Genomic DNA, 13,414 nt, shown 5'->3' with positions numbered 1-13,414 from the left:
TAAATGAAATCAAACTTACTTGTCAAGCTCCACAGCACAACTTACAAGTCATAAATCACACTCTGTATGACAGCTACGGGAGGGATCTGGGTAGTAAAACAAAATGATGGATTTTATCTTTCCTGTTTTTGAGTTATTAAGAACTAGTTGAACTATAGAATGACGTGAAAGACTCACATCAGGGATGGGAGGTTATTTGCAGAAACTCTTGTTTTCTTTATCACATTAATGTCAATATTTGACATTTCCATATGACTAATTGTTGAACTAATTTTTGATTTCTTATGCCAACTGTTAATAATCCTCTTTTCATCCAGAAAACAATCACTTTTTGTCTATCTGTAAATTGACATTTGTTATGTTAATTTGTTTTTGCTTATTACAAGGATTACCTTTTATTTACAACAAAGCATTCACAGATTGCTGTGACAGATTTGTCTTCAATCAAATCTCATAAACATTAATTGAATTATTGAAAGGAATTTGTAAATTATTGTGTTTTTTTCTAAAATAGTAACATCAGCGTGTATATTACGTTAATTTTGTTTACAGTTTTTTGCTTCACATTAACTATATTTAACTGATTTTAACAGCCTTAGATAACTCCAAAACATCAATTACTTTACTTGGATTTATTAATTCATTCAAATATATATATATATATATATATATAAAATGAGAATCTATCATTTGCCAGGCACTGGGCTAGGCAAAGGTAAGAGTGAGTGGCAAAATCATGTTCTCCCTGTTTTCCTGTAATGTATTGTCTGGCTAAAGGCTGTGAAGGAAGAGTAATGTGAAGGAAGAGTATTCGAAGGATATAAGAAAAGGGATCACACAATTAACTGTATGTAGGCTGTTCTTAGGGAAGATTTCTTCTAGAGGTGGTACTTGGCCTTCAGTCAGAAGCATGATTTGATATTTGATGTTAACCAGGTAATTGAGGGGATAAGGTGCTTTCTCAGCAGAAAAGACATAGTAGGCAAAGTCTTTAAGATAAAAGCACAGTGAAAGCTCAAAACTAAAAGGAGGCTTGGGTGTCTGGACTCCAGAGACAGGAAGAGTTTAGAGAGTCTAGCAGAGATAGCAGAGAAGACTTTATCTTTTTTTTCTTTCTTTCTTTTTTTTTTCTGTAGCAACCATCTTTCCTGTGAAAAATTCCCTCTCGTACTTTAGTTCTGTGGATCCAAAATTTATAGCATTCTTCTACCACCACAGGGGTGAGTATATAATAAAAAATGTCAGTTATTCGAGTATGTAAGAAACTTGAAAGTCATCACTCCCATCCTTACAACAAGAAAAATGCTGAACAAACAGACTATCAACAACTCATTTTAGATCCATTAGAGGACTGAGGTCACAGAAAAACTGCTGCCCCCACCCTAAATCCCCACTAAATTAGAGAGATGGGAAAATGCAAAGAATTATAGCCTAGTGGAGCAAAAGCCCAGGAGCCCCCACAGGAGTTAGTAATGGAGTAGAAAACTTTAATATGCAGTTGATTAATTTCTGGAAGCACATTGTGGACAAGCTTGAGAGTTAACTTTGAAAAATATATAACATGATAATACTAATTAAAAGAAAGCTGGATTAATATATTAATTTCCAACAAAAAGACTTCAGAGAAAGAACAATTATAGGGGGATACAAAGGGGTATTACATAGTAACAAAGGATTTAATTTTCCAAGAAAACGTAACAATCCTTAATGTGTTTGCATGTAACAGGCTGTCAAAACACATGAGGCGAAAACAGAACTGCAAGAACAGACAGATAAATCCACTATGATAGTTGGAGGTGTTAACACCTCTCTATCAATAATGAATAGAACCAGCAGGTGGAAAATCAGTAAGGGCATAGTTCAACTGAATAGCACCAAAATCAGTGAGTCCCAGTCTCTCTTCCCGGAAGTTGATTCTTGAGCAGGGACGTCAGGAGTAGAGTGATGTCCAGGCCATATTTAATAACAAATAAATCAGAGTCTGGACATGATATGTAGGCATTCGTTTCTTTAAAAAAAAATTGTCCCAGGTGATTCCATTGTGAATCTAATGTTGAGAAGAAATATGCGCAGTGGTTTTCTTTGAATTCATTCTGCCTGAGATATCTAGAGTTGTTTTGGTTGTTGACATTGTTTTGTTTAGCAATTCATTCATTCAATTTTGTGAATTAACTTTCAAGAAATGCCTTTTCCTTGTTATAAAATTACATTGTTTTATGTTATACTTTTTAAATTGTGATAAAAGTTGCTATCTCAATGTTGGTCAAAGGAAACAATTTCAGTTGACAGGAGAAATAAGTTTCAGAGATCTATTGTATATTATGTAATAGATCTATAGTGATTGTAGTTATAGTGACTATGGAAATAGTGACTATAGTTAATAACAATAGTATATAATTTAAAATAACTTAAAAATTATTGAGAGTAGATTTTAACTATTCTACATATTATTTTCTTAGTGATATATGCATCTTCTGTCATCTTCCATGGGAAATTTGACATTGCAACCTCACCTGAGGCCATCACTTTTTCCTTGATACTACGAACCATCCTGTCATGTGTTTGTACCATATCAGTAGTGAAACTGACAGTGCTCTGATAGGGGTATACTCTTTTATCCCAATCTATATCCCAATACCCAATAGCCCAGTATTCTTAGAATCCAGTTGTATTCATACTCTCCTGGATCATTTCTGTTCCTTTGTAATATAGTCCCTTTCTTCCCTTACAGGCTCATATGACATTAACAGACAAGACACTTTTCAGAAAGACAGGTAAGTCATTTGTTAAAATCTCACTACTGTTGTTTAACAGAAACATATATATGCATGTATATGTGTGTACTGTATGGAAAAAGTGGAATTAGAGTTTATCTAGAAAAGAAAAAATTACCTCATCTAAGTGCAGAAATGAATAATACTTAAACCATACCATACAATTCTCTATCATATTTCCACAGATAAGTCAAAAATTTAAAAAATCTTATTGTTCATGCATAAATGCAGAAAACAATACCTCTAGTATATGTTTGTGTTCTATTGTACTTTCACAGAAGGTGTTTGATACTTAATACTGTGTTTATTAAGAAAAATCTTTGCAATGGTTATGGAATTAAAATTTCATGTAAAAATGATTATGTAGATCAAGAAAAGTTGCAATTTTCTGGATTCCTGATATTTTAAATAAAAGTAGTTTCCAAAGGTGATTTTTTTATTATTTTAATTTTTAATGGAAATTTTCACAATATAACCATCCTACATAATTTTATTTTTCAACTATTATTTTTGTCGACTCATTATTTATTAAGAAACAATGATTTTTAGATACTAATTTATAATTCTTATGTTATAATTAAAAATCAGAGTTCGTTGAATAAAATATCTGATTTATGACTCCTTAAGTCAACATTAAATTATTTTATTGCTATATCATGTTTTTTGATGTTCATAACTCTAGGTTTATATAGTAATTTCACTCCACTTTCTTTTTTTTTTTTTCTTTTTTTTGAGACGGAGTCTCCCTCTGTGGCCCAGGCTGGAGTGCAGTGGTGCGATGTCGGGCTCACTGCAAGCTCTGCCTCCTGGGTTCACGCCATTCTCCTGCCTCAGCCTCCCGAGTACCTGGGACTACAGGCGCCCGCCACCGTGCCCGGCTAATTTTTTGTATTTTTAGTAGAGATGGGGTTTCACCGTGTTAGCCAGTATGGTCTCGATCTCCTGACCTTGTGATCCGCCCGCCTCGGCCTCCCAAAGTGCTGGGATTACAGGCGTGAGCCACCGCACCCGGCCAACTTCACTCCACTTTCATTGGGGGGAGATTTGCAGTTAATTCCAATTTGAATAATATCTTTGTAACTAAATTTATCACGAAGCTCAACATGACAATTTAGTATAGTTAATCTCCATTTCGTTTTACTTTTGCACAACTTCCAGTGAAGTGATCCTCTGAGATTAGGACTAGTTGAAATCGTAGGGCAAATATATAAATTGTTTAGAAGGAAGCCTTAAGATGCTTTAACTCATGCAATGAATTTGAACATAGAAATGAGAGGAAAGCTTGGATAATTTTATAATGAAAGGCTAAGCATGTTTTCCCCTCAAGAGGAAAAATTTAAATTTCAAACTGAATATTACTCAAACATTAATCATTTAACTGTATAGCATGGGACATTTTGGGCATGGCAAATTCTAATGGAGGAGACTGCTAGAAATTCTCAGCCACACAGAAATCTGACTGCTTAATTTTGAAAGCTACAGAGCTGTTACTAAATTTTTTTATCTTGTTTTTACATGTAACTCAGAAACTACTCTGAAAAACTCTCTTAATTCTTTTTACGGCCGGGTGCGGTGGCTGGAGCCTGTAATCCAAGCACTTTGGGAGGCCGAGGTGGGTGGATCACCTGAGATCTGGAGTTCGAGACCAGCCTGGCCAACAAGGTGAAACCCCACCTCTATTAAAAATACAAAAATTAGCTGGGTGTGGTGGCACACACCTGTACTCCCAGCTACTTGAGAGGTTGAGGCAGGAGAATCGCTTGAACTCGGGAGACGGAGGTTGCAGTGAGCCAATATTGCGCCATTGCACTCCAGCCTGGGCAACAAGAGCGAAATTCCATCTCAAAAAATAAAAAAATAAATAAATAAATAAATAAAAATAAAAAAAACAAATAGTTTTTACTTTATTTCTCCCAAAATATGTCAAAAATGGCATAATGGCACACTTGCTTTTTCTGTAGTCAAAACCATTTTGTAAAAAAACTTGAAATGTACAGTGTAGAATCCAAGGGCAGAAAATAAAGGCTGAACATAGAACTAAGAACCTGTCCAAAATCAACGCAGTGGCTTTTTATCAATTTCTCTCACTCCAGGGCAACATTTATTTTCTTACTCTCGTACTCTTTGTATCTCCATTGCTTGCCTGTGGATCAATAATATTATTCTTTATAACATTATGGAGGCTATATGGCTTTGTGCATCCGGTATGCATCATTATTATATCCTTCATCTCAATTAGAATTCTCAAGTGAAGGAGGCTTATTGATTTCCAACCAATAAATGGATAACTTCCACCTAAATCAAGCGTTCATTCATTGTCCAATCCACTGGACCAGGTGGGCTTGAATCATACATGGAAGTAAACTTCCTAACATGCTGAATGGGTTGGCTCTCATAGAAGGTATTCTTGAGTGGGCAGTTTTCCTTACAAAACATAGTATACTAAGACTGTGGTATTCAGACAGCTCTTCAATCTTCAAGGGAACTGTGGAAGTAAACCAGGGGTGACATGGATTATCAAATATTGTGGATCAGGTGAGCTCTAGGCTTCTCAATGCAAGGTAATTACCCTGCACTTTCATCTATTTTATAATATTGCCTTTATTTTTTTCCATGAAAGAGTAAGGTTTGGAAAAACAAGAAAAACACGGTTAAAATTATTTCTCTAGTGAATTGGTTGTGTTTATAAATCTTTAGCTTAGCTTGAGTCCCCCTTTGTGAAATGTATAAATCCTTTTGATACATTAACAAACACTTGGAAAATGACTTAACTTATTAAGTTGAATTCTCTAATATAAGGGTTATAAGTGAAGGCTTAATTATTCAGCATTACTGAATTCAATATATCTGCCCTTTCAGTTTGCCTAGGGTGACAAATACCTTTCCCATTACAGCTTGCCAATGTAACACAGCCTTATTTCATTTTTGTTGTAAATAGAATCACATTCTAATATGTTTTAGCTGAAAACAGCAAAGTATATATTCAACTACTTCCCAATAGGGAAAATTTTTAAAAAAAGTTATTTCTTTAGCCCAGAGCTTTATTTTCCTTTTACATAACAGAAAAATACTTGGTGTGAAATAAAACCTTCTTACACGTAATGAGACCCCATAGAATTTTAATGAAAGACAATTGAAGACCCATTTTTAAATAAGCCATTGGGAAGAATTAATATAATTAAGAATAGAAAAAAACTAGATAAAGTTACAAGAACAACCTAGGAACATTTCTATATTTCTTCCTCATTTTCTGGAGTTTTAAAAGATGTTGAAACATTTTGACAGCTATAGAAAATGACCTAGGGACAAATATACTCTCTATTCCTGACATAAAATGATATGCTTATTGTGTTTCTCATAAAACTCAGCATAAAACTATATACCTAATAGTTATTTAAAAGGAGTTCCTAAAAATAAATATATTCATTATTAATATGTGACATGACTGAGTTACTTTTGAAAAACTACAAATTATTCAACATACTTTAACATAGGATTTAGTATCAATATGGTATCCATTTCTTGATTCTGTTTTTCATAGTGCACTTAAATATATATGTTAATACTTTTGAATAAGTGCATTATGCTATGAAATGTTTTAATGAGAAAAATGAATCTATACAAAGCAACTTCATTTATATTTTGTTCCTGTCATGTTACATTGCTGATATTTTGTATTATACTAGACATGACTCATTTTTAAATACATAATTGTATATGAAGTTCTCAATGTTAATGTCTGGAGGATACAGAATCAAAACAGAAGAAAAGTTAAAAAATTAAAAGTAAACTATATTTTGCATATGAATAAGAATATTACAAATACCATATTTATATACTATGTTTATGTATCTTTACACTATGCCAAAAGGTATATATGGCATATATGCATATATACCTTTTTTATGCAGAGAAATAATATCTCTGCATAAGCATAAAGTCAAGATACATAATATTTTAAAATGTTTTTCATTGAAGTGTAATTGACATAAACTGAACATATCCAGTGTATTTTTAAAGTTTTGGCATATTGGTACACGAGAAAACACCATGGCAATCAAGATCATGAACATATTCACTTCCCTAAAGTTATTTTGTGTCTTTAGTAATCGCTTCTTCCCCTCTTCCCTACTCAATCTCCATGCAACTACTAATCTATTTCTGATACTACAGAATGGTTTACACTTGGTAGAATTTTATGTAAATGGAGTCACACAAAATCTATTCTTTTTTGTCTGTCTTTTGCACTCAACATAACTACTCTGACTTTCGCCTATGTTGATACTGGTAGCAATAGTTCATTCTTTTTTTAATTAATAGATTTTATTTTTAGAACAATTTTAGGTTTATAGTAGAAACTAACAAAGCAGAGAGAATTTCCATACACTTTCTTCTACTCTCCATATTCTTTATGATTAATATCTTGAATTAGTGTGGTACATTCGTTATAATTGATGCATCAATATTGACATATTATTATAAATGAAAGTCCATACATTAGTTTTATATTAGGGTTCACTCTTGACATTATACATTTCATGCGTTTGGACAAATGCATATGTCATGTAACCACTACTACAATATTATAAGAATAGTTTTACTTTCTTAAAAATTTCTGTGCTTGATTTATTCGTCCCTTCCCTTGGAGACTACTGGAAATTCTGATCTTTTTACAGTTTTTCCCTTTTTAAGAATGTTGTGTCATTGGAATTATACAGTATACAGCCTTTTCAGATTAGCTTCTTTCACTAAGTTGTATGCATTTTAGGTTCTTGCATGTTTTGTATGGTTTGATAGCTTATTTTTTAATCACTGAATATCCCATTTTATAGGTATGCCAGTTTATTGAACCATTACTCACCTGTTGGGGGCATCTGGTAGCTACCAAGTTTTGTTATGAGAAAAGCTATTTTAAGGAGTCCTGTGACTCATTTGGATAGGAGTGAAGTTTTTTTGACTCATTTGGATAGGAGTGAAATATTTTTGACTCATTTGGATAGGAGTGAAGTTACTGGTCCATGTGGTAAGACTACATTTAACTTTGTAAGAAACTGCAAAGCTATCTTCTAACGTGGCTGTGCCATTTTGCATTCCCACAAGCAATAAATGAGAGTTTCCCTTGCTCTTTATCTTCAACACAATTTAGTGTTTTCAGTGTTCTGGATTTTAGCCATTTTAGTAGGCATGCGGTGGTATCTCGTTCGAATGAGCGATTCTCTAATAATACATGATGTTGAGCATATTTCATTCGCTTATTTGCCATCAATATATTTTCCTCAGTGAAATGTCTGTTCAGATCTCCTGCCCATTTTTTAACTGGATTATTTATCTTTTTTTTTTCTTTTTGAGTTTTAAGAGTTCTGTGGCGTGCTCATACCAGTTCTTTATTGGATACATGTTTTGTAAATATTGTCTCCCAGTCTTGGCTTGTTTTTTAAATATTAACTATGACTTTCTTAGAGCAGAAGTTTTAATTTTTATTAAATTCAACTTATAACATTCTTCTATAGTCTCACATTTTTATATTTAAATCTATTATCCATTCTTGTACATTGTGTAAACACAGTGTCTAGATTCTTTTTTTTGGATGTGGATGTCCAACTGTTCTAGCACCGTTTGTTGAAAATACGGTTTGTGTGTGTGTGTGTGTGTGTGTGTGTGTGTGTGTGTGTGTGGTTATATCTCATATTATGAGTATACCGTGTTTGGTTTATTTATTCACCCATTGATAAACTTTGGGTTGTTTACAGTTTAGTGTTAGTATAAATAAGTTTGTCATGGCCACTTGCAAACACATTCTTGTATGTATATATGCTGTACTGTTTTCTGCTTAAAGAGCAACAGTAGAATAAGTAGGTAAAATGATGGGGGTCTATTTAACTTTGTAAGAAACAGTCCATTTTTTTTTCCCAGAGTGGCTGTATCATTTTACTTTCCTACCATCAGTATTTGAGAATTACAGTTGTTCTAAATCATCACCAACACACAAGATGATGAGTATTTTTAATTGTATTTATTCTAGTAGGTGTGGAATGGCATCTCATTTAATTTGTATTTCTCTAATGGCTAAAGATATTGAACATCTTTTGATGTGATTATTTGCTGTCTCTGAATTTCCTCTGGCAAAGTATGTGTAGGTGTGGAATGGCATCTCATTTAATTTGTATTTCTCTAATGGCTAAAGATATTGAACATCTTTTGATGTGATTATTTGCTGTCTCTGAATTTCCTCTGGCAAAGTATGTGTTCAAGTATATTCTTTTCCTTATTGTTTATTGTTGGTCTGTAATTTTCCTTATAATTGAGTTTACATATTTTGGATACACATTCTTTATCAGATATAATTTGGAAATGTCTATTCCTAGTTTGAAGCATATAGGGTAGAAATATAGAATTTTTTGTTTTTATGAAGTCATATCTATTGTTGTTGTAACTGGTTTTTTTGTTTGTTCTCTAGGTTGTTCTTTTGGGCCACATCTAAGAAATCTTTGTCTAGCCAAAAGCCACAAATAATTTCTCATTTTTTGGCTTCTGGAAGATGTACAGTTAAATGTTATATTTGGGACTGTTATCTAATTTGATTAAATTGCACTCTACAATATGATATTTGAATTGATGAAAAATTAGTAAATGTTAATATTTTTTAAAGTAGCCAAATCTTGCAATTTATATATAATAGAGAAGACTAGAAAATCCCCCATATTTATTTCCTCTTACTTCGTACTACTAAAATTTGTATTTAGGCATTTGGTTTCTCAGATAAACATTACATTCCCCAGTATATGGTTCTATCTGGCTTGGTGACGACATGTTGAACATTAAGATGTGAGCAGAAGTAATACATACACACTCTTTTTCATGTCTTTAATTGAATGGGATATTGGCCCATTTTTTCTTCCAGTTTATTACACTGAATATTGACATGTTATTTTCCAATATTGAGACAATCAATGACAAGACTTTAAGAGTAACAATGTAAAAATACAGAAGTTGTCTGAGTTTATCAACAATCCCCTGGATTAGAACCCCCTACCAGTTCTAGGTCATCTAATATATAGACATTGTGTTCAGTAGAAATAAATATATATATTTTTTATTATGCTTTAAGTTCTAGGATACATGTGCACAACATGCAGGTTTGTTACATTGGTATACACGTGCCATGTTGGTTTGCTGCACCCATTAACTCATCATTTACATTAGGTATTTCTCCTAATGCTATCCCTCCCCCTGCCCCCACCCCCCGACAGGCCCTGGGGTGTGATTTTCCCCACCCTGTGTCCAAGTGTTCTCATTGCTCAATTCCCACCTATGGGAATACATTTTTAAATCATTTTTGAAGGTGTTATTACATTCTGATTGAACATTTTCAGAAAGAATAAATCATTTAATACAAGAAGTGGGCCACTTCATGTAACAAAACAAACCACCACTACAGCAACAACAACAAAAAACACAAATGAATGTGACTTTAGCTTTGCAACATCGTGACAGACTAGCAAGTTAATGACATTTGTTATGCCATAGAAAATATTTGTTGAATTGCCACTCTAATGACTTTATATCAGCCAACTCATTATCAACACTAGAAAAGATGATTAAAAAATACTTCAGTACGTTCACGTGTTGGCTTGTTAACATTTTTAAGAGTCTATAAGAGAAAAATGCATCCAATCTCGACAAAAATATTTTTCAAGTATCTTGTAGGTACGTACAACTAACTACCTTGTGAACAAAAGTCACTATATAATTATATAATTTCTGACACTTAAAAAAGATTATTGTGCAAAAGAAGATATATGTTCTAATACCAAATCCACATATAAAATAATTGACTTATTTAAATAATTTAAGATGCTCTTTTATATATTTATATTAAAAACTTTACAGAGAATAAAAAAAGCATTATACAGGCTACTTATGGTTTTTGATGTTTGGATATACAATACATGTATCAAAGATGGTGGACATAAATCAAGCAATATATTCAATTGGACTTAATTGCATTATTACATGCCAAGTGTCGTATACCATCTATTTGCACATAACACTTTTTAATTTAGGTAAAATTATTAATCATAAAGCTATATGAATTTATTTTATTCCATGTTATTTTATTATTCCATGTTATTATTTATGTATTGTTAGGAACATTTGCTTAGAAATCATATTTGGACATAGTATCAGATACTTTACATCCTTTGAATCAGTTATTTTATAACAGTATATACTAAACATCATTACTCCTTTTCAAACATAAATAATGCAATACAAATTGGACAAAAAATTCAGGAAAGATCTGGGATCAAAAAGGAGGTATTGAAACATCACATGTACTCCATAATTATATACAAATATTTTGTACCCATAATATTTAAAATACAGAAAATTAAAAGGTACATTTTCCTCAAAGTGCATGCTGCTTTTGCTATGCAAAACTGCAGGATATGGAAAGAAGTGTATTAAAACACTAAATCACTTTATGTGGAAGATAAAAGGGATGGTATCCAATGTACGACTTCATGTAGTGCACTGATACATTCAATACAAATGATGTATTAACTTCAAGATAACATGAGAAAGTTAAATTATCTAACTTATTTCAAACTAGGGGATAGTATGTTCTCATTATTAGAAGCCAGAATTCTGCTTATCCATTTCTATTATTAGAAAAAAACATAATTTTTATTCTTGTCTTAAAAATAGACACCTTGATATAATTCTCTGTAAATGTAGCATGATAGTCTGTTTACAGAGTTTATATCATTCCAAGACTGCACTTCTAAAGTGAGAAAATATTAAAGGATATAAACTCACTCCTCTCTACAAAATTCCTTATTTTTTATGCAATGGCTTTAAAATGTATGGAAGGGGAGTTATGGAAACAATCCATACCTGGAAAGCATTCTATCTATGCCTTTGAAATGGTTATCTAGTACTAGATTCTTATCAGTGCCTAGCTATGTAATGTGTGTAGCTTAAGATTTTTAAGAAAGAAGGATAAAATGCTCAATATAAATTTAAAAAGCACTTTTATTGGAATATTGAATCATATATTTGCTTTCTGTAAGTCCTTTTATCTATAAAATAATAGTTGAGAAAGGCAAATAGAATATGTGGAGGAATTAAAAATTCAGTTGTAGGGTGGTAAATGAAAACCAAATTTTTCATTCACCACATTAAATGTAAATGGGTATTATACTCAATTTAAGCAGCAAAGTTGCTTCTTTTTTTTTTTTTTTTTTGAGACAGTCTCATACTGCCGCCCAGGCTGGAGTACAATGTTGCCATCTCGCTTCACTGCAACCCCTGCCTGCTAGGTTCAAGCCATTCTCCTGCCGCAGCCTCCCATGTAGCTTCTTAAGATGTGAAGATTTTTAAATTAAGATGACTCTTGGGATGAACCATTTGGTGTTGGTTAAAGACTTTTACTGACATATTTTTAATAATCTTTTTAACTTTTATTTTCAGGTCAATGGCACATGCGTAGGTTTGTTATGTAGGTAAACTAGTGTCACAGGGATTTGTTGTGCAGATTATTTCACCACCCAGCTATTAAGCCTAGTACCCATTAATTGTTTTTCCTGATCTTCTGCTTCCTCCCACCATCCACCCTCCCAGAGGCCCCAGTGTCTGTTGTTTCCCTCTATGTGTTCATGTGTTCTCATAATTTAGCTCCCATTTGTAAATGAGAACATGCAGTATTTGGTTTTCTGTTCCTGCCTTAGTTTGTTAAGGATAAAGACCTCCATCCAGCTCCATCCATGTTCCTGCAAAGGACTTGATCTCACTCTCTTTTATGGCTGCCTAACATTCCATGGTGTATATGAACCACAAAATAAAGATGGTTCTTAACTTTTAAATTAAGATTTTTAAATTAAGATGAATCTTGATTTTTAAATTAGTATGGTTTTAAGATAGTTTTACAGATAGATTAGATAATCTATCTAGAGATAGATAGGGAGAGATATCTATCAATACATATCTCTATCTAGATATAGATAGATGGTTTTCTATATAGACCTATCTATCTATATATGTATACATCTATATATGTCTACACATATCTCTATACACATATATATATATTTATATCTACATCTATATTTCTACATGTATATAGGTATGTATATATCTACATGTATATATGTATATAGATAGATATATACATAGGTATCTGTATATATGCATATACATGCCTATCTATCTTTATCTACATGTATTACATAGATAGGGTAATTACTGATAAATCCTTTGGCCTTCTTTGTAAATCTCTGGGCTAAAGACCCCTCCAGTATTATACATGTTCTGGTCTAGATTGCTCACTCACCAGTTCTCCTCACTATCTAGAGAAGATCCACTTAGCAGGCCTCCCCTTAAAGAAGGGCACCTTAACTGGACTCACTCCTCCCATAGTAGACTGCACAGTACACAAGCAGAAGAGGAGAGCTCAATAATAAAGTCACCATAAAGGATAATTTTTAAATGAATAAAGAAATCAGAAAATCCAGTATTGGCTAGCACATATGGCTATCAGCAAGCTCACCCTACAAAAAAATAGTGAGAAAACAGTTCGAATATTGGCCGTTTGGGGCACATATTCTATAAAAAGGAAAAGTTTTGAAATGTATATATATTTA

General features: G+C 32.6%; 1 long non-coding RNA gene across 3 annotated transcripts in view; it reads left to right on the top strand.

Annotated features, from left to right (window-relative positions):
• Nucleotides 1-13,414, top strand: part of NUTM2B-AS1 (NUTM2B antisense RNA 1) — a 135,095-nt gene that overhangs the window by 19,336 nt on the left and 102,345 nt on the right. For 2 of the 3 annotated variants that reach the window (NR_120613.1, NR_120611.1), the window contains exons 4-5: nucleotides 1,137-1,220; nucleotides 2,732-2,774. This is a non-coding gene — a long non-coding RNA (NUTM2B antisense RNA 1). Of the gene's footprint in view, nucleotides 1-1,136; nucleotides 1,221-2,731; nucleotides 2,775-9,231; nucleotides 9,426-13,414 lie in introns of those variants that run through there. The other variant, NR_120612.1, reaches the window with a different exon arrangement.

The sequence above is a fragment of the Homo sapiens genome, chromosome 10 (assembly GCF_000001405.40).
Source record: "Homo sapiens chromosome 10, GRCh38.p14 Primary Assembly".
In the NCBI taxonomy this organism is placed as follows: domain Eukaryota; kingdom Metazoa; phylum Chordata; class Mammalia; order Primates; family Hominidae; genus Homo; species Homo sapiens.
Note: the sequence above shows the minus strand (reverse complement) of the source record. Positions and strands in the feature narration are given on the sequence as shown.